Consider the following 23137-nt stretch of genomic DNA (forward strand, 5'->3'; position numbering starts at 1 on the left):
ATGAACTGGAGGGTGATGATCCTGGATCTGGCAGTGAAGCGGCAGTGTCTGCTCAGCAGGAGCGGGAGGTGTGGAGCCACTTCGTCACACTCTCAGCTGCACGGCTTTGGGCCACAGCCTGTAGACACTGGTGGAATCTGCTTAGAGCTTTGAGGAGAGAATTCCCAGAGCCAAGCTATGGATGGTACTAGGAAGTGAGCGACCAAGAACAGCTGCTCTTCACCTCCACAGGCAGGGTGGGGCAGGGTGGGAGGTGAGCTTTGCCAAAAGCCAGGCTGAAGGTGATGCAATGCCTGCACCATGGCCAGGAGCAGAACCACACGTTCTTTTTGGTTTCTGTATAACTCTTGCCAAATTTACAATAAACCCTGCAAATCTGCTGGAGCCTCTCTCTTTCTTTCCCAACCTTTGCAATGACCTGTCTTGAAACTCCTTGCCTGATTCCCCGCTTCTTGTTTTTCCCTGTTCCTCCTGCTCCCTTTTTCTTTTCAGCTTTCTCTCCAATCATGTTCCTCTCTATTCTTTTTCTTTTTGCTAACCTGCATGGTGAATATTTGCTATTTTCCTGCTCAGCAGAACCTGCTCTCCCCACTCTCAGCCCATGAGTGGGTGGGCGGGGCTTTAGCACCTGGTGATGTCACTTGAGAACCTAGTTGGCTGAGCCCAGACTTATTAGGTGGTCAAGTCAATAAATGCCCATTATCATGTTTAAGCTGCTTGTGGTTGGGTTTTCCTGCTTGGCACCAAGAGGCCTGAGTCATTTCCATCCTCGGGACCAGCCCATGCCCCATCTCCAGCTTACACCTCACCTCATTCCCACCCCTAAACTGCAGTCAGGCCGAGGTGCTGACAGGCTGCCCCCATGCCATGCCACTGCTGTTCCTCAGTAGGTCCCTGCCTTCCTGGCACTTCTTGGTATCATGGTTTTCTGAGCCACAGTGCTGTTCTAATTGTGAGGCAGTGGTATCTGCCTGGCTTCCTCCCCAGCCCCACCCCCAGCCCCTGCTGTGGGGACTCTGCCTGAGCTCTGAGGGCAGGCGGGGCACCCTGCTCCTTGCACAAGCACTATTCCCACCTCTCTTCTTCGTTGCTGTCCGGCTTCCCCTTGCTTTTATCCCCTCCCCTTCTCCTGCTTCCCATTGGTCAACTCTTCTCCCAGGGCCTCCCAGGGCCTAGGTCTGAGCAGTGGAGACCTCCACGAGGAGGCAGAGGGCAACCAGGCAGGCTCCATCCAGAAGCAAACAGGCCTGGACAAGATGCAGATTCTCCCAGGCTCTGCAGGGCCTGGCAGGGAAACTGCTGCACCTGAGCTGCCTTCAGGGGAGTCCTCAGAATAAGGGGAGCTATTAACAGGCAGATCAGTGTTTTATGAAGACAGTTATGATCTTGTCACTGTCCTCAAGGAGCTTCAGGTCCAGGAAGGAAAAACGAGCCACCTGGGAAGCAGAACTGTGTGATCACCTGGCGAGCAGGGAGGAGCCCACCCAGACACCACAAAGACAGGGAGCACTGGGAGGGAGAAGCGGGGCCAGGCTGGGGAGGCCTGCAGAATGGGGCGGGGCTTCCGGTTTCAATGCTTACTCGCTGAGTGGCCTTGGACAAGTTACTTCATCTGCCTGAGCCTTACTTTCCTCGTCTGTAACATGAAAATGCCAAATATACCAGCACCTGGATTGCCACGAGGATGAGGTGATTACATTGCGTATGGTCCTGAAACAGTGGTGTCCCTCTCCCCACCCCACCTTTACCCAACCTCTGGTCTTCAAATCGACCTTGTAAGGCAGGTATTTTTATGTTTGCTTTGCAGATGAGAAAACCAAAGCTCTGTATAATGACACATCCGGGAAATGTGAGGACAGGGTTCAAATCCAGGTGTGTCTGGGTCAAACCTGAGCATTCCCTCCAGCCCTGCTGTCCCCTCTCTGCATCTGATCTTGGCTGGGGTCAGTGTCTGGCAAGCACACTGTCTGGCTGGCTCAGGCCTTTTGCCCCAGCTGTGGCCTTCACCCCCAACTAATTAACTAACTGACAAGCTGTTTATGAAGCTGCACTCCTGGTGACGTTGTTGGTGGCCATGATAATCATCCTGTTTTTTCACTTATTCAGCCACCTTCTGAAGGGTCTTTTTATGAGACCGTTTAATGGATTATCATTGTTCTGGGCAGTTTATTATGCAAATGAAGCCTCAAAGTGCTCCATGCTGTCTGCTGAAATGTGTTTTATAATACATTTTTTTCCACAAATCAAAATAAACTAGTGTAAATGACAATGGAACTAGAAAAGCTTTGCTCTTTATAAAAAGGGACGTGTGAGATTCTTTGAAACTGAGCGCTGGCGGAGTCTGTACTCTCTGACCCTGGAGGAAGAGATGCTGTTCTTTGAAATGAGGGTTTTCTTTCTGGAAGAGGCTTTGTGAGCATGGAACAGCAAAGCCCAGGATAGGAACTGAGAGAGGTCACCGAAGTGTAGACACCCTGGCCTCAGTCTCTGGAGTTCAAAAAGGCTGCAGTCAATTGTTGGAATTTCTTTTCACATGAAGAAATCTACATTCTGTGTAAATAAACCACTTTAAAAATGTGTGTGTTGTCTTAGTTACACAGACATTTCTATAAAAGTACTTGTAATTGTGTCTAAAAGACTGAAACCATTTAAAAAAACACCTTGAAAAATATTTTTCTCTGCCTGGTTCAGTGAACAGTTCCTACAAGCCCCTTTTCTCTCTCTATTGGAAAATAATAATTCCAGATTTTGTGCCAATCCGTCCACTAATCTAAACCATGACTCTTCTGTGGGCCGCGCACTCATGCCCTTCCTCACTTTAATCATACGCCCCTGCTGGGAGGGCCGCGCTGCTCCTCCCCCTGGTGGTTGCAACCCTGCCTGTGAGTCATTCTTCTGACTCTGCTGCACCCAGCCTGGTGGTTTACAATAAACTCCTCCATTCTCAGAGGCCAGGGAGGCAATGGGAGGAGAAGGGGTCTGCACAGAGAAGCCAAGCGAGAGGCTCACATGCTTGTATGTCGTTAGATGAGAAACACACCCCCAAGCTGGGTGAGCAAAGAGTCTGAACCTCATGCTGCTCTCTGTGTGTACATGGAGAGTATCCTCAGCTTGCCAGAACCCTGACTCCACCCCCAGGCCCCAGTGTGGAAGATCCATCCATGGATGATCATGGTCCAAACCAGCTCCTCACTTGAACTTCCCTTCCCCACACTCTTTTCAAATTGCACCAGGATTCCCTATGAATCGTTGATGTTTCCCTAGCACTGATTACATGGTCTCCTGGATGGAGAAGAATAGGTTTAGGAAAGTACATCTTTAAGCATATTCAGGATAGAAGTCCAGGCCGAAGACATTCATAAAGGGGTCACCAGCAACATAAATAAGCCAAAACAGTACTGGGACTCCATAAACTGAGAGTGCTCTTTGGATGTAGCTCTGGTTTTCAACAGGTGATGGCCAGGGCGCTGGCAGGCAGCAGCAAAGCTAGCACTCAGGCCTTCTTCCCCACACCTGAAGCCCCCAAGACCACTTCCAGCCCCCACCTGATCATTACATAGGGGTCTTCTCTCAAATGATGTGCAGGGTGTGGGCAGTGGCATCATTGCCCAGGCCCTTTATCTGACCTGTGCAGGTTTGGGATAGGAGGACCAGGATGGAGGTGAGGAGGAGCTCAGGCAGAGTGGTGTTTTTCTTTGTACTTAGCATTGGGTGTGTTTGGCCCAGGAGAGGTGAACGTGGCCAGAGCAGAAACAAAACGAATCAGCAGGGTTATACAGTGCTTGCTGAAATGCTCCACTATCCAGGAAATAAGCAGACGTTGGTCATCGGAGTAGAGACAGCTGCAGAGCGCAGTGAAGGGCCATTTTTAGGGTTGCAATCAGAACAGAGCAGCTTTCCCCTTACCAAATGCCTGGCATCATCTCTGTATCTGTGGCCCCACCCTCCAGGACAGCAGCAGAGAGGGGCCCTACACATTCTCCTCCCGTAAGTGCTGGGACATCGGGGTAAGGGATATGAGACTGCGTATTTTCCCTTTAACACTTTTCTGTATTTGAATACCTCAGGAAGTAACACTATTTTCTCAGTTGAAGGATTGCTCAGAAGTCTAGGACTCCCCTTCACCTCACCTATGCCACCAAATCCCCTGCTGAAATAAAGTTCCAGGGTGTTTGGCCACTGCATGTGGTCAGCTGCATCCCTGGTCCCCCCTCCCACAGGGAGGCCTCTTTCCCTGCATTTGTGTCTCTTGCATCCCTGTCAAAGGGGCCTCCCTGCTGGGGGCCATGAAGGTGTCAGGCAGGCCTTGACACAGAGCTCCAGAAGGAGAGGGACCGCTGAGAGGAGGGACCAGCGGGGCTTCCCCACTGCACTGTGCAGGGCTCTGCAGCCTCCTGCCCTGGGTGAAGAGCGCAAGCCACCTTCACTTTTATGTTATTGGAGAAGGCAGAATGGAGGTGGGTTTCTAATATGGAATAAATAAGAGAAAGACAGGCAAAGAGTTTGAGAGTAAGTTTTTAAAAATTCCTTGGTAAATGACTGAATGTAAACATAAATCCCGCCATTCAGCTAGCTGGAAATAGTCCCAGCAAGAGCACGAGGGTCCCAGGGGCTTTTTTGCCACCGACAGCACAGCAGCATCACTGGACTTTGCTGCAGGCGAACATGTGTTCAAATACCACCTCCGCTCACAGGTGCTGCCTGTCTGAATTTAGGCTCCAGGCTTCTCATCTTTTCAACGGAAGGGATAATAACGTTCACCTGCACAGTGCTCTTTTGAACAAGAAACAAGATTACGTATGCAAATATCTTAAGTGCCATTACTTTTAAACAAATGGAGTTTGTTAATTTTATTATTTCTACTTTTATTATTCCCCAAGTCATTATTTGAACACCTAGAATGGTGCTTGGCAAATAGTAGTCACACAATACATATTTGTAGAACAGATCTTTGAACAAATACATAGTAAAATGAATGAATTAATGAATACCAAATTACTGTGAAAAACGTTCAGACCGAAGAAAAATTTGCTGAAAAGGAACCAGCTTCCCTTTCGTGTCTCTCCCAGCTCAGGCAAGCAGCCCACAAGGGGGCGCTCCCTGAGCCTTCTAGAGGCAGAGCGGCCTGTTGGGAAAGGTCTGAGGGTGTCAGTGGGAACTGCCTGCTTTGCTGAGGAAGCAAAGGCTTGTGTGGGAAGGAAGATCACAGCTGGTCCGCAGCCTCAAAGAGCAGGAAGCAGGACAGAAGGAGCCCCTCGGTGTACCCTGCAGCCCCCAGCCAGGGAGAAGCAGCAGGAGACAGAGCTACTTCCTCTAACCAGTGGTGGTTCCTAACTCCAAGACATCCTGGACATTGGTTCTGAGCAGCAATCATTGCAATTTGCTCTTTTCTGCAGCCGTGAAACTACCAGGATAAAGTAATCAGAGTGATCCCATGATGTGCTGGGGCAAACTAAACATTTCTCGTCAAAATAATGGTCAGTTTCCTACTGAATGCTACATGATAAGTGCAGTATGTTTGATTATGACATCAGTGAGTTTGCTACTTAGAGGATATTTATGGGTGATACATTGAAATTTACCTTTGACCATCTGTTTTGGCAGAAGGTGTCTCTCCAATATCCAAAACTTGGATAATCCACATTAAAACTAATTTTATTGTGGCTAATTTTTGTTAAATGTTATTAAAAATAATAATCACATTGTATTTATTAAATATTTGTTAAATTTTATAGAATTTATTAAATTTTGTTGATCACCACTAAAAGATACATATATATTTAATGTATATTAATATACAGCGGCTCATCTTCCTCCTGACAAACCTAAAGTTGGTGGCCTCAATTATGATTGTTGTTTTGATTTGGTGGTTGTGTTGCTGTTATTATTCATATCATTATCACCTTCTGAAGCATGCAGTCCTGGGCAAATGGGAAAGGCCCAGTGCCAGGTCATGGAGGGCTTGCAACTGCGAAGGAAGAAAAGAAAAAACAGGAAGGGCCACTCTGCTCCTCCCACTCCACACACAGAGTGGCTGACTACAGCAGGCTCACTACAGGACTGTGCCAGAAGCAGCGTTGTCTCTGCACTAAGTGCTTCATCTTCCCTTTCTCTGCATTTCTGTGTGTGTATATGTGCATGTGTGTAAAGAAGACAGGTGTGTGGGGCTGTTGACCGTGAGATGCTCAGAAGAAAGTCCCTGGGTCATACTGTATTCTCAACTTTTAATTATGTTCAGACATTTTGCAAAATCAAAGACTAGAAAATATCATTTAAAGTAATCCAAGCTTGTCCAACCTGCCTTATTTTGTGGTGGTTGTTTTGTTTTAGGCTTTTAGCAGCCCAAAGCCACAGTTTTTAGTTTTGGTCTCTAGTGATAAGTGGAAAAGAGGGATGAGGAAGCGGTTTTACCGGCCCAACCAGAAACAGGAATGAAGAACCCAAGACTGTATTTTGTCCCTTAGACACCCATGTGAGCTCTTGCACAGACTGAGGCTTCAAAAACAGTCACTGTCACTATTATTGTGAAGGATCTGATAGTTGAGGAGTTCTGCCCTTGACGAGGCCCTCACTGTGGAACACCTCCATCTCCCAGAGCCTTCTGACCCATCCTCATCCCCTTGCTCCAGATCCTGGAAGGAGAGGGGTAAATGCAGAGGGTGATTCTGCCCCCATCCTAAGGATCCCCAGGATCTGGGGAGGTGGTATGACACTGACATTTGGGCCACAGTGAGTTCCTGTAGTTGCCTACAGTGGGGATATTAGGGTACATGCTGTGGTTTGGATGTGGTTTGGTCCTGCCAAAACTCATGTTGAAATTTGATCCCCAGTGTGGCAGCATTGGGAGGTGGGGTCTAGTGGGAGGTGTTTGGGTCATAAGGGTAGATCCCTCCTGAATAGGTAAATGTCCTTTTGTGGGGGTGAGCTCGCACTCTTGCTTTCTCAGGAATAGATTGATTTTCACTGGAGTGGGTTGTTAAGAGCCTGCCTCCCTTGGTTTCTCCTGTTTCTTCTCTTGTCTTGTGGTCTCTTTGCACACTTACTCGCCTTTTGCATTCCACTAGAAGTTGAAGCCATATGAGGTCCTCACCAGATGGAGCTGACAAATCTTGAACCTTCCAGCCACCAGAATTGTGAGCCAAACAAGCCTCTTCTTTTTATAAATGACAAAGCCTCAAGAACGCTGTTATAGCAACACAAAACTGATTAAGACAATAGGTTAGCACAGAAAATAAATAGCAAAGAAGAATTTTCTGGGTGAAGGCCTGCTCCTCCCCACCTCCATTCCATGCAAGACACACCTGCAGGACATCCTCCCACCCTGCCCTTCTCTCTGTCTCCACTTACAAGATACAGAATCACAGAATGGATAAGAACTCACCAACTAACTATCTGCCTTCAGGAGACTCACCTAACACATAACGACTTACATAAACTTAAGGAAAGTGGTAGAAAAAGGCAACAGTAGCTAAAAGAGACAAAGACAGGAAGTATATAATGGTAAAGGTCTCATCCAACAGAAAAATATGACAATCCTAAGCATACATGAACCTAACACTGGAGCTCCCAAATTTATAAAACAATTACTAGTAGATGTAAGAAATGAGATAGACAGCAACACAATGATAGTGGGGGACTTCAATACTCCACTGACAGCACTAGACAGGTCATCAAGACAGAAAGTCAACATAGAAACACTGGATTTAAACTATACTTTGGAACAAATGGACTTAACAGATATATACAGAACATTTCATCCAACAACCACAGAATACACATTCTATTCAACAGCACATGGAATTTTCTCCAAGATAGACAATATGATGGGCCATAAAACGAGTCTCAATAAATTTAAGAAAATTGATATTGTATCACGCACTCTCTCAGATCACAGTGGAATAAAACTGAAAATCAACTCCAAAAGGAATATTCAAAACCATGCAAATACATGGAAATTAAATAACCTGCTCCTGAATGAGCATTGGGTGAAAAATGAAATCACGATGGAAATGTAAAAAATTTCTTCGAACTGGATGACACAACCTATCAAGACCTCTGGGATACAGCAAAGGCAGTGCTAAGAGGAAAGTCTGTAGCCCTAAACACCTACGTCAAAAAGTCTGAAAGAGCACAGACCGAATCTAAGTTCACATCTCAGGGAACTAGAGAAGCAGGAACAAGCCAAACCCAATCCCAGCAAACAAAGGAAATAACCAAGATCAGAGCAGAACTAAATGAAATTGACACAAGAACAACAACAACAAAAAACACAAAACATAAATAAAACAAAAATTGGCTATTTGAAAAGATAAATAAAATCGATAGACCATTAGCAAGATTAACCAAGAAAAGAAGAGAGAAAATCCAAATAACCTCACTAAGAAATGAAACAGGGGATATTACAACTGATACCACTGAAATATTAAAGATTATTCAAGGGTACTATGAACACCTATTGGCATATAAACTAGAAAACCTAGAAGAGTTGGATAAATTCCTGGAAAAATACAACCCTCCTAGCTTAAATCAGGAAGAATTAGATACCCCAAGCAGACCAATAAAGCAAGCAGCAATATTGAAACGGTAATTTTAAAATTACCAACAAAAAAAGCCGAGGACCAGACAGATTCACAGCAGAATTCTAGCAGACATTCAAAGAATGTCTTCTCTCATTCAAAGAAGAAATGATACCAATCCTTTCACACTATTCCACAAGACAGAGAAAGAAGAAACCCTCCCTGATTCATTCTATGAAAGCAGCATCACCCTAATACCAAAACCATGAAAGGACATAACCAAAAAAGAAAACTACAGACCAATATCTTTGGTGAATGCAGATGCCAAAATCCTTAACAAAATACTATCTAACTGAATCCAACAATATATCAAAAAGATAATCCACCATGATCAAGTGTGTTTCATACCAGTGATACAGGAATGGTTTAACATATGCAAAACAATAAATGTGATACACCAAATAAACAGAATTAAAAAAAAAACTCACATGATCATATCAACAGATGCAGAAAAAGCATTCGACAAAATCTAGCATTGCTTTATGATTAAAGCTCTCAGCAAAATAGGCATACAAGGGACATACCTTAATGTAATAAAAGCCATCTAGGACAAACCCACAGCCAACATAATACTGAATGCGGAAAAGGTGAAAGCATTCCCTCTGAGAACTGGAGCAAGACGAGGAGCCTACTCTCACCACTCCTCTTCAACATAGTACTGGAAGTCCTAGCCAGAGCAATCAGACAAAAGAAGGAAATAGAGGAAATCCAAATCGGTAAAGAGGAAGTCAAACTGTCACTGGTTGCTGACGATATGACCTTTCTCCTTGAGAACCCTACGGACTCCTCTAGAAAGCTCCTAGAACTGATGAAAGAATTCAGCAAAGTTTCCAGATACAAGATTAATGGACACAAATCAGTAGCTCTTCTATATATCAACAGCTACCAAGCAGAGAATCACATCAAGAACTCAATCCCTTTTACAATAGCTGCCATAAACAAAACAAAACAAAACAAAACAAAACAAAACAAAACAAAACTTAGCAATATACCTAGCAAAGGAATCAAAAGACCTCTACAATGAAAATTACAAAACACTGCTGAAAGAAATCATAGATGGAGCCAAGCACGTTGGCGCATGCCTATAATCCCAGCTACTCGGGAAGCTGAGGCAGGAGAATCACTTGAACCCGGGAGGCAGAAGTTGTAGTGAGCCGAGATCACACCATTGCACTCCCACCTCAGCGACAAGAGCAAAACTCTCTCTGAAAAAAAAAAAAAAAAAAAAAAAAAAAAAAACAAGAAAGAAAAGAAATCATAGATGACACAAACAAATGGAAACACAACCCCATGCTCATGGATGGGTAGAACTAGAACCAAAATTGTGAAAATTACCATTCTGTTAAAGGCAATCTACAAATTCAATGCAATCCCCATCTGAATACCACCGTCATTCTTCACAGAATTACAAAAACAATTCTAAAATTAATATGGAACCAAAAGAGTGCCATGTAGCCAAACCAAGGCTAAGCAAAAAGAACAAACCTGGAGGCATCACACTACTTGATTTCAAACTGTACAATAAGGCCATAGTTAGCAAAACAGCATGGTACTGGTTTAAAAATAGGCACATAGACCAATGGAACAGAAGAGAGAACCCAGAAATTAACCCAAATACTTACAGCCAACTGATCTTCGACAAAGTAAACAAAAACGTAAAGTGGGGAAAGGACACCCTTTTCAACACATGATGTTGGGATATTTGTCGAGCCACATGTAGGGGAATAAAACTGGATTCTCATCTCTCACCTTATACAAAAATCTACTCAAGATGGATTAAGAACTTAAACCTAATTCCTGAACTATAAAAATTCTACAAGATAACACTGGATAAACCCTTCTAGACATTGGTATAGGCAAGGATTTCATGACCAAGAACCCAAATGCAAATGCAATAAAAACAAAGATAAATAGCTGGGACTTAATTAAACTAAAGAGCTTTTGCATGACAAAGGGAACAGTCAGCAGAGGAAATAGACAACCCACAAAGTGGGACCCCTGACCCTGACCCGTGACCCTGACCTTTACCCATAACCCCTAACCCCTGACACTGAACCCTAACCCCTGACCCTAACCCCTAACCCTTAACCCTTAACCCTAACCCCTAACCCTAACCTCAACCCTCACCCTCACCCTAACCCAATCCTAACCCCTAATCCCTAACCCCTAACCTCTCAACCCCTAACTTAAACGTTGACTCCTAACCCCTAACTCTGACCCCAACCCCTGTCTCCAACCCCTGACCCTAAACTTAACCCCTAACCCCTAACCCTAACACCAACCTTAACCCTAGGTTCGTTACTACGTTTGTATTGACTATGTCAATGTTGATTGTTATGATCGCTGTCTTAGGACTGCACGGCAGCGAGGGGATTGCGGATCTTATATTAATATTTTTGTATTGAGGCAATGCATTAGCATTACAGGTGCTTGTTACATGAGCAATGGGGGTGTCATATTTCGGGTGTCATGTCTGCATTAGGAATGCTGCATTTGTCTTCTGAGGCTGTGGTGTGGATCTCGCACTGCGGCCGCCTCGCCTTGGCTGGGGAGAACCTCGTTAGGAAGGATTTAGAGGGGCTTTTGGTTTCCCGTTTTTCCACAGTGAACCCTTCTAACTGGTCTCTGACCCTGATTATTCAGGGCTGCAAACAGGAAGGATTTTATTCATCGTCGATGTGGCCCCGAGTTGTCCCAAAGCGAGGCAGTGTCCCCAAGGTCTGTGCTGAGGAGAACGTGGCTCTGCCTTCACAGAGTCCCCTGGGGCTGTGCTGAGCAGAACGCAGCTTCACCCTCGCGGTGCCCCCGGCCTCCCCAGGTCTGTGCAGAGGAGAACTCAGCTCCGCCCTGGCGATGCTCTCCGGGTCTGTGCTGAGGAGTACGCAGCGCACCGGCGCTGGCGCAGAGAATGCCCAGCCGTCATTCTTGCACTCTGCATGCCCATAGGCTTAATACCACATGGAAGTTGCTGAGGCTTATAGCTTGCACCCTCTGAAGCAGTAGCCTGAGCTGTATCGGGGGTCTTCTGAGTTGAGACTGCAGCTGAAGTGGCCAGGATGTGGGGAGCAGTGTCCTGAGGCTGTGCAGAGCAGTAAAGTCCTGGCCCTCAAAAGCATTCTTTCCTCTTAGGCCTCAAGGTCTGTGATGTGATGGACTGCCATGGAGATCTCTGGAATGCGTGCAAGGCCTTTTCCCCATTGTCTTGGCTATCAGCATCTGGGTTTTGTTTTAATTATGCAACTCTCTCTAGCAAGTGTTTTCTCCACAGCCTGCTCAAATTTTTCTCCTGGAAAAAGCTTTTTCTTTCTTTGTCACATGGCCAGTCTGCAAATTTTCCAAATTTTTCTGGTCTGCTTCCTGTTTAAACATAAATTCCAACTTTAAGTCATTTCTTTGCTCCTGGATCTGAGTATAGAAGCAACAAGGCCACACCTTGAATGCTTTCCTGCTTAAAAATTTCTTCCATCAGACACCCTAAATCATCATTCTTAAGATTGAACTCCCACAAATTCCTAGGGCATGAACAGAATGCAGCCATTTAACCAGTCTCTAAGAAATTTCAAACTTTTCCTCATCTTTGTCTTCTGAGCCCTCCAAACTCTTCCAACCTCTGCCTGTTACTCACTTCCAAAGTCACTTCCACATTTTCATGTATCTTTATAGCAAAACACCACTCTTCAGTACCAATTTTCTGTGTTAGGCCATTCTTTTATTGCTGTAAAGAAATACCTGAGGCTGGGTAATTTATAAAGAAAAAAATGTTTAATTGGTTCACAATTCTACAGGCTGTACAAATGTGGTGCTGGTGCCACAAATGTGGTGGGAGGGAGGTGCCATACCCTAAAACAACCAGATCTCACAAGTACTCACTCACTATTGAAAGGACAGGACCGATTCATGAGAGATCTGCCCCCATGACCAAAGCACCTCCCACCAGACCCCACCTCCAACACTGAGGATTATATTTCAACATGAGATTTGGACAAGGTCACTAAGTGCCTTCTTGTCCCTGGGGAAATGCTGATCAAAATCAGTGCTGAGCAGTGGAGCTGACAAATCCCCCTCGCAGACATTCTCGCTGCACTGGGTACGTGTCTGCCCAGGAGTGGGGAACACAGGGGCTGGACACAGGTCCTCCTCCTTCTGACCCTGTGTATTCCTTTACTTAAAATGGGAGAAAGATACTTAGACCAGGACAGCTTCTCAGGTCCCTTCCACTCCAAACTCCCTGACCTATGACCCGGTTTCCTGCATGAGGCCTGGTGTGTAAAAGGCTCCCCTCTGCTGTACCCATGTGGCTCTTTGCTTGCATAGAGGAGGAACAAAGGAGTGATTCTGGTTTCATAAAAGAACTTATACACTTGGCCTCCCTTAATTCGTGCATGTCACTGGCAGCTGTTTATTGAGCACTGATGGGATGCCAGGCCCTGTTCCAGGCAGGATTCTCTTAGGTCCCCATGTGCCAAAATCTATATTTTACAGGGCTTAACTACAGATTTCTACACCCTCCCAGTGATGTGAAACCATTTCACCACTAATCTGAAAGGGGAGCTCCCTCTGTAGTCTGTGTTTGCCCACCTAGGACTTCAGGGGACCCAGGGCTGCTTCCCCCCATGCTGCTCTGCTCCAGGAGGCCCAGCCTCCCTCTAGGTGATTGGGAGAGAAAAGATTCCCTTGTGGTGACTGAGGTGAGGGGGCTCAGAGCCCTGCAGCCTGGTGCTGAACCCCGGTGTTAGTTCAGAAATCAAAGCCTGTGCTTTGAGTTCTTTGAGATTAAGCTCACAAAGGGTCACACAGCAAGGTGGGAGACTGGGGTTTGAGCCCCAGTCCTGCCTCTTTGCTGCTCACAGGCTAGTGGGAAGAGACCATTACTGTTCCCCACAGGAGCCCAGTAGCAAAGTGCCAGGACCCTGGACCTGTGTGGGGCCCTGGGATGCCCCCCGTCTCAGCAGGGAAAGCGGGCCTCAGTGGTGTGTGGTTTGCTCCCTACAGCAGCACCCCTGTCGAATCCTGGGGTGCACTGTGCTTTCCTTGAGGGGAGAAGTGTTGAGGATTGCCTGGCTGCCTGGAGAAGAGGGTGAGAGGGGCAGCAAGAAAGGCAGGGTCTCCAATGGACCTTATTCCTCAGGCACTGGGAGCCCTTGTAGGTTCTTGAGAAGAGGAAGAGCCATGTGAGGCAAGTGGACTTACCTGTGGGGTGTCTGGGTGATTTCTGCTCATAGTCGACTCTGAAGAAATGGCCAGAGATGAAGAGATAAGGTGTTTGGACAGCTGCCTGAACCTTGATGTAAGGAGTAGGATTCAAATGTGACTCTGAAAAGGCAAGTGCCTGCAGGGCAGAGGGGAGGTGGGCAGGCCTGGCCAGCAACAGCCTTCGGAGCTGGGCCACCTGTACCCTCAGTCCAGCAGTCCCCAGGGAGAGAAAAGCTGGGGTGGATGGCGCTTGCTGACTGCTTCCTTTGGCCCTAGCCCATGGGACACACGAAGTCTATGGGCTGAGTCCAGCACAGCCTTTCAGGAAGCACCCACTCTGCCAGTCCCCCCGAGGCAAATGCACTGACCCCTGACACCTGGGGCTGGTGCTGGCCACTCTGGACACAGTGCAGTGGGAGTGGGAGAAGGAGGCCCCCAGCAGCTCATTGGTTAGCAACTGACCTTGGGGTAAGAAGGAGTGCTCACAGATGGGGATGGGCAGAGGCCATGTTTGCCACTGTCCTAAAGCCTAGGGCAGTCTGTGGAATGTGGGTGGGGTGAGCTGGCTGCATGGCTGTATCATAGGGCCTGTTGGAGAGAGTCCTAAGCTGTGGTGGGGTCCACCCAGTTGGAGCTTCCCGGCTGCTTTGTTTACCTAAGCAAGCCTGGGCAATAGTGGGCACCCCTCCCCCAGCCTCGCTGCCTCCTTGCAGTTTGATCTCAGACTGCTGTGCTAGCAATCAGCAAGACTCCGTGGGTGTAGGACCCTCTGAGCCAGGTGCAGGATATAATCTCCTGGTGCGCCATTTTTTAAGCCCCTCAGAAAAGCACAGTATTCAGGTGGGAGTGACCTGATTTTCCAGGTGCCATCTGTCACCCCTTTCTTTGACTAGGAAAGGGAACTCCCTGACCCCTTGTGCTTCCCAAGTGAGGCAATGCCTCGCCTTGCTTCGGCTCGCACACAGTGCGCTGCACCCACTGTCCTGCACCCACTGTCTGGCACTCCCTAGTGAGATGAACTTGGTACCTCAGATGGAAATGCAGAAATCACCTGTCTTCTGCGTCGCTCACGCTGGGAGCTGTAGACCAGAGCTGTTCCTATTTGGCCATCTTGGCTGTGATCCCTTCTAGGGTAATTATTAAAACATTAAGAAATACTCTTTAATCATATATGATAAAACTTGTAGAAAATCAATAACATACAAGTAAAGAAGATCAAGAAGCCAAAAAAAAAAATAATTCCAAGTATAGAAAGCATGGTGAAAAGTGATGGAAGAAAACTGCAGAAATTTAAAATGAAAAATTAAAATACAACTCTATAATTCATGATACATAATTCTTTGCTGAACCCTGAATCTGTCAGGACATATGTGTGATCTTGGATAACGCATTCAACCTCCTCAACATTGAATTCTCTTGAGTGTAAACTGTTTTAGAGATGTTCCTCACCTGGTTGCATGAAGCACATCTGTGTGTGTTAAGGCACTTCCCATAGCATCTGCGACACAGAACAGCGGCAGCTGTGCTCTTCGTGGTCCCTGCACACAGACCCACAGCAGTATGTTGTGTGTTTTTTTATATAAAAGGCTTTGAAAATGTCCCACAGCTTCCTCAGTAACTGACTGTCAAAAGGGGCAGCCTTCAAAAGTAGAATTCTGGCAAATGTCTTCAAAAGACACAAAATTCTGGCAATGGGCTCATTTCTCCTCCTGCCTTGCTCTTCTGGATGCATCCATTCTCTCCCACAGCATAGTCATTTTCTTCCACTCCACTGTAGAAATTTTCCTTCTAGTGGCAAGAGTGACGTGAGTGATATGCGGAAATATCTTTCCAAGCCTGCTTGGAGAAGCTTCCTCTGCCTGCTTCTCTTTGGCCACCTCCAGGGCTGCTCTGTCATGCCCAACAGCATGGACCTCACTGCAGTCACTTTGGAAGCTTCCCTTTAAAGGAAGCTTGTGCAGGAAACATCATGCATCGAGCAGCATGGGGACAGGGGCTGGCCAGCTGGGCAGGGCTCACACTCCTGACACCCAGACTCCAGGATACTCCTCTGTCCCCACCCAGGGCAGATCCCTGCCCTAAAAGTTTTCCCTCTCATGTCCAGCAAATGCTGCATGGAGCCCTGGAATTCTATGTGGAAAGCTAGGAAGAGGGAGAGCTGAAATGAGGATGTAATCACCCTTTCCAAAGAGGTCAGTCCAGTACTACCCTGTGCTCCTGGGCAAGCTCTCCAGGCTGAGGAAACAGGAGCAGGGGTTATGTCAGGTGAAGGTGGAAGTGAGGGACCTCCCATGAGGTGTAGAATATTCCACTAGGGACACCTCATACCCTTCCAGGATTAGACCTTGAGGCCTGGAGATCCCCAGGCAATTAGTATTGAAGGTCGAAAGGCCAATGACAGGAATAGGAAGGCCCACCGTGTCATTCACAAAGCACTTCCAAACCCATCACCACAGGTGACCCTCACAACAACCCTGTGAGACCTGCAGGGCAGGGGCTCTCACAAAGGAGGAGTCGGAAATGTCAAGATTTTAACACCTTCTCCAAGTCAGGATCAGGAAATGCTGTCCCAGCACTGACCTATATTCCCTATGCTTCCTCCCACAAAAAAGCTTAAGGTGACTGCCAACTTGTGGGCAGAGACCCTCACTTTCCAATCCCCACGAGGGGCTGTGCAGTGGGGAGGACAAGGCCCCTTCCTCTGACTGTCTCCTCCAAGACCCTGTTTTCTGAGGAAGGTCACTCCTCAGAAACTGTTGGCCTCTGCAAATGGGGGCCTGGACCATGTGGAAAGATGATGTGAAGGTCACACCTGGCAGGGACCAGTGCTGGAGGGCAAACCTCACCTTTAAAAACTCACACTTTTTATTTTAAATTTATTTTTATTTTTAATTTCTATGAGTACATAGTAGCTGTATATATTTATGGGGTACATGAGATAGTTTGACACAGGCATGCAATGTGTGATAATCACATCAGGGTAAATGAGGCATTCATCACCTCAAGCAAGGGAAATGCTAGATGCTTATGAAACCATCAAATCACATGAGAACTCACTATCATGAGAACAGCATGGGGGAAACTGCTGCCATGATTCAGTTACCTCTCACTGGGTCCCTCCCAGGACACATGAGGATTATGGAAATTACAGTTCAAGATGAGATTTGGGTGGCAACACAGCCAAACCATATCACATTATAAAATTAATAATGTGAAAATAGCAGTGGGCCTGAGTCCTGGCCCCTGCCATGTGATGCCCCCTTTTGGGGAGGGCCTGGCTTCTGTGCCATGCAGAAACTTCCCTGTGCTTCATGTGGGCTTGGGGTGATCCAGGTCCTCCTGGGGGAGCTGGGCACTGTGGGACATGAAGGTCCCTGGCCTGGAATCTCCATTTGCCTCCTTACCCCATCAACGAAACACCAGAGGAGCCAACTCAACAAACCTCAATCCTGGACCATAGGTGCTCAGGGCCCCGTGAGCTGCCCTGGGGCAGAACACTGGGCAGTGGCCAGTGCTTCCCCAACAACTCCCCCATGCACAGATGCCTGGTGGACACACTTCCCTTAACCCTGCTCAGCTGGAGCTCAGCCCCCATCCTAGTACCTCTGCCTCTTCCTCCAGGGCAGGATAAGAAAACCCAACTCCAAACCCATGGAGAATCCCCATCTTGGGCGAGGCCCTGGCTGGGACTCAGCCTCTTGTCAGCCCCTCGAGGAGCTCCATCTTTCCCTGTTTCCCTGCCCCATGGGACCCTGGGCCTCTGGGAAAGAGTTGAGGGTGTCGTCCACTCAGCAGGTACCACATGATCTTTGGGAAAAATTTGTGTTATACCTGCTCCTGGTGGGATAGGAGCCTCCGGAGCTGGGCAGTATTTGGGCTGTAGAAAACTGAGAAGCCCCTGACCCATCATGCATCAGAGCCCACTCCCAAGATGTGGAGCTGTCAGCTGGAAGAGCTGGGCAGTGGCAGGGGACCCCGGACCCTGAGGCCTTCCTCCCTTCCATTAGGTGACCCTACCATGTGGCCTCAGCTCTAGGGAGGTGGGCCCTAGCCAGAGGAACTGCACAGCAGCATCCTGGGTAGAGGTGCCCGGAGGGCAGGCCTGCCTTTGAGGCTGTGAGGCAGGGCTGCGGCAGGCAGTGGCCAGTGGAGGGAACAGGGTGGGTGCCAAGGGGCTACATGGCCTCTCCTGGACATGGGGTCAGGCTGGGGGACATGGGATGGGCAGACACTGCCATCTCGACTTCATTGGCCCATCTGTGGGCTGGGAGGGCAGCTGGGAGTGTGGCCAGCTGGGAGGTAGCAGGACTCTTGAGGAAGTGACGGTCACCTGCATGAACTCAGAGCTAGAGGGCTGTGGCTCTGGGACACACAGGGTGGCCAGGGGGAGGCTGCAGCGCCCTCTGCTGTTGGGGATGAAAGGTGTCTGCCTTGAAGTGAAAGGGTCCCTGTTCAGCTCTAGGCTCCTGTGGGACCCTCAGCAGGGATGTCCTGAAGGCTCCTAACAAGCTGGAAAGCAAGGAAGGTGCCTTGCCGGGAAGTCAGGATCGCCCAGGCAGGGTGGCCGTCCCATGGCCTGGCTGTGTGAGGCCCTGGGGGTAGCTGTCCGCCTACCCTGCAGGGAGTGCCTCTCCTCAGCCATCAGCTGATCCAGTGCCCAGAAGGTGTCTTCCTCTGGCAGATACAGGAGGAGGATGGCAGTTAGGCAGCTCATGTCCCTGTAGTAGCCCACCTCCTGCAAGAGCCAGAGTCACCATGGAAGCATGTCACTTGAGAGGGCTGAGGCCATCTGGGAGGACTCATGTCACTGGAGAGGACAGAGGTCACCTGGGATACCTCCCTCAGGCCCTAGGGGATTTGGGGTGCAGACTCTGCACCCCTCCCCTGACCCTGGGCATGAGGACTAAGCAAGTCCCCCACAACTCAGTTGAAAAGGGACCTGGAGGGACTTCTGCAGTGAGTGTCCAAACTCACATGGTCCAAAGAAGCACAGGCAAGGATCATTCATGTCCCCTATCCTGGGCCAGGCTGGGAAGGCCACGGTGCCAGGCCTGGGGCAGAACCTGTGAACTGCACCCACCACAAGGGCAGGCGGTGGGCCACTGATCACCACACAATGTGTCCTGTGATGGCCCAGAGGCTGCCTGCCAGGCAAAAGAGGGCAGGTGGGTCCAGACCCCATGTGGGCAGCCCATGGAGTGAGCTCAGTGGCTCTCCCTGCCTGGAATGGTCTGGTACCAGAAAAAAAAAAAAAGGTTTATAGAGTTAAAAAGGTACAGTAAGGTAAGGTTAATTTATTGCAAAAGAAAGAAAATATTTTTAATAAACTTATTGCAGCCTAAGTGTACAGTGTTTATAAAGTCTCCGGTAGGGTAGGTCATGTCCTAGGCCCTCATATTCACTCCCCACTCATCACTGACTCACCCAGGCAACTTCCAGTCCTGCAAGCTCCATTCATTGTGAGTGCCATATACAAGTGGACCATATTTTACTTTTTTTTTTTTTTTTTTTTTGAGATGCCCAGGCTGGAGTGCAATCCCGGCTCACTGCAACCTCTACCTCCTGAGTTCAAGTGATTCTCCTGCCTCAGCCTCCCAAGCAGCTGGGATTACAGGGGTGCACCACCACTCCCAGCTAATTTTTGTATTTTTAGTACAGATGGGGTTTCGCCATGTTAGCCAGGCTGGTCTTGAACTCCTGACCTCAGGTGATCTGCCCGCCTCAGCCTCCCGAAATGCTGGGATTACTGGTGTGAGCCACCATGGCTGGCCTTATTTTACCTTTTATATTATATTTTTACTGTGCCTTTTCCATGTTTAGATACACAAGTACTTACCATTATGTTCCGATTGCCTACAGTATTCAGTTCAGTCACACGCTGTGTAGGTGTGTAGCCTAGGAGCAATAGACTATACTTGTATAGCCTAGGTGTATAGTAGGCTATACTGTCTGGGATTGTGTAAGTACATTCTATGGTGTTTGCACAGAAATGCCTAGCCATGCATTTCTCCGAACATATCCCTGTCATTAAGTGATATATGACTGTATAGTTTTGTATCTGTAATCGTACACATACAGTATAAAGCAGTTTGCCTTAAAATTACACTTACTTAACACATGGCTATACAATTTTATAAAGCATTGATTTTGTTTATAAACCCCACAAACGTCCAGGCGCGGTGGCTCATGCCTGTAATCCCAGCACTTTGGGAGGCCGAGAAGGGCAGATCACAAGGTCAGGAGATCGAGACCATCCTGGCTAACATGGTGAAACCCTGCCTCTACTAAAAATACAAAAAATTAGCCGGGCATGGTGGCAGGTGCCTGTAGTCCCAGCTACTCAGGAGGCTGAGGCAGGAGAATGGTGTGAATCCGGGAGGCGGAGCTTACAGTCAGCTGAGATTGCGCCACTGCACTCCAGCCTGGGTGAAGGGTGAGACTCTGTCTCAAATAAATAAATAAATAAATAAATAAATAAATAAAAATAAACCCCACAGACTTCCTCCTTCAGCTTCTTCTTCGACTGGTTTTGAGTATATTGCTTGAATATATTACTTTGGTTCCTCTGTTTTCTTTTCTGACTGGCTTAGCCCTTAGCATAAGCCAAAATCACTGAACAAGTTATATCCCTGTTTCTCTAGAGAACTTGATTGATAATTGAACTATGATTCAAGAGTTCTAAATATTGATGGGAGGAGAAGGCGGAAAGTCGCAGTCATCTCTAAGAATCTGATGAAAATTCACAGCTAGTATGGCACTCTCAGGTGAGATTTTTGTCTCATTAAATGGGAAATAGCTTTGGGGTACTGGCTTGAGTCAACAGGGTCATATGAATCAGCTATAAATTGTCACCTGGATTAGGTCAGAGGGGTCATAGGTATCCCTGGACCTTGAAATAAGGGCTCTGTCTTAGGGCAGTCACCCATCTCTTTGAACTTCAGTTTCTCAAAATGAGAATGACAATGATGAAATTTGCCCTCTGGAAGCAATGTCCTGAGGTGCTAGCCATCCATTTGGAAATCTGTGTTCGCTTGTGTGCACAATGAAAACAAGTGTAACCTGTCCATTCCACTGACTCTTCAGAGGTTGCTTTTACCACTAGGACTTGTAGTTCGGTTTACCGTTGGAGTGCTTTATTTAAACTCTAATCTAGTTATATAAACACACTTCAGCACAATTTATAGGCTTGCGATTCTTTCTAGCATGGCTGGCTCTTTTTTTTTCTTCTTGAAACAAACTCTTGAGTCTAGACTTTGTCAGGTTGATACATGAGTTTGGGGACTGTTTATAAGGAAACCATATACATATTCCAGAAACCTGCCTTGTTACTGATCTGCAATAAAGATGATAAGCCTTTGACTCATAAAAAGACACCCACGATATCCTTTGAAGTGCAAACCCTGATCTACTACTGAAAAGGGGCACAAAGAGATTCCTCAAAACTGGCCTTGTTGCTTTAAGAAGAGGTGACTATTAATGAGAGAGCAACTCTATGGGAGAGATCTTTCTCATGATACAAACTGTTAGCAATGCAAGAGGCTGGGGAATCTGTAAATAGTGACTTTCCTCCCGGGGGAAGTGCTTAAGCAAGACTGATTGACCATCCTCAAGAAACAGTATGAAAGGGATTCAATCAATCAATGGGAAAGAAGATGGATTTGTAGGTACCTTTCAATTCAAATATCCTGTCTTCGATTTCTCTAATAAGCCTAGGAAGACAGGATTGTGCTAATGACTCAGTCCTAAGGAATAGATCCGTGTAAACAGTGAATGTGGCCACCCTACCATTGGTGATGTAGTGCAAGTGATGGGGGTATAGTGTGGTAGTCCACTGGGTGTTTTAGGCCAAGTATGTAGTCCAAAGAACACATTTCTAAACTTTTAAAACACAGACAAATTATACTCAAGAAATCAATGTTCAGTGACTGTTTCTTGCCACTGCAGAAAAAAAACTAACATAGAAATGGACAAAGTTTACTTTGCCAATCTGTCATAGACTACAGACTATTAGGAGGGGGATCTCAGTAAAGGTCAGGCCTAAAGCAATGAGGAGAGAAGGGGAGCTCTTGGTCCTTCAGAGAGGACCGATGTCACAGCGTGATGACAGTCCAACTAGTACCAATGCACATGAGAAGCAAATCAGTTCCTGAAGCTTGATGCTATATATTCATCACAAATAAATCTGAAATGCATTACCTGTTCTCTTCTGAATCTCATATGGATCAGTATCTAAAGAGCAATAAAGTTCAGGAGCTGTGTCTTCCAATACAAATGACTATATGACTATAGATATAGATAAACATAGATGTAGATCTAAGGATATATGTACATACATTATTTTGGCCAATAATTTCTTCTCTTTCAACTACCAGAAAGTAAAAATATAGAGATGAAACAGTGGTGATTTTGTTACTTCTTTCTGGGTTTTATTGTTGTTATCATTTTTCTTTTCTTTTGTTTTTTTGAGACAGGGCCTTACTTTATCACCCAGGCCAGAGTGCAGTGGTGTGATCACAACTCACTGCAGACTTGACCTCCCAAGGCTCAAGAGATCCTCCCACCTCAGCCTCCTGAGTAGCTGGAACTACAGGTGTATGCCACCATACCCAGCTGATTTGTGTATTGTTTTTGTAGAGACAAGGCCTTGCCATGTTGCCCAGGCTGGCCTTGAACTCCTGGACTCAAGCAATCCACCTGCCTTGGCCTCCCAAAATGCTGGGATTACAGGTGTCAACCACTACTCCTAGCCTTCTTACTATCTCCTGTGTACTGATGACTCACATCCTACTGTGGAATAGATAGACTGCTTTTGCCTTCCCAGCATTGAATCCTTTTTGTCTAGAAATAACACCTTAGTTTTCCTTTGGGGAACCATATCACTCTACGCTTGAGTGATTCTGGTGGGACAAACCCCATTGCTGGCTCCAGATATGAGCTAGTAACCTAGGTATGCTGATACGGTTTGGCTGTGTCCCCACCCAAATCTCATCCTGAATTGCAATCCTCTTAATCCCCATATGTTGAGGAAAGGACCTGGTGGGAGGTGATTGGATCACGGGGGCAGTTTCCCCATGCTGTTTTCATCATACTGAGTGAGTTCTCATGGGATCTCATAGTTTTATAGCTATCTGGCATTTCCCTTGCTTGCTCCTCTCTCTTCTCTCTCTCTCTCTCTCTCTCTCTCTCTCTCTCTCTCTCTCTCTCCCCTCTCTCTCCCCCTCCCCCTCCCCCTCCCCCTCCCCCTCCCCCTCCCCCTCCCCCTCCCTCTCTCTCTCTCTCTCTCTCTCTCTCTCTCTCTCTCTCGCTTGCTGCCATGTAAGACGTGCGTGCTTCTCCTTCTGCCATGATTGTAAGTTTCCTGAGGTGTC

Source organism: Homo sapiens, chromosome 18 (assembly GCF_000001405.40).
Source record: "Homo sapiens chromosome 18, GRCh38.p14 Primary Assembly".
Taxonomy (NCBI): Eukaryota; Metazoa; Chordata; class Mammalia; order Primates; family Hominidae; genus Homo; species Homo sapiens.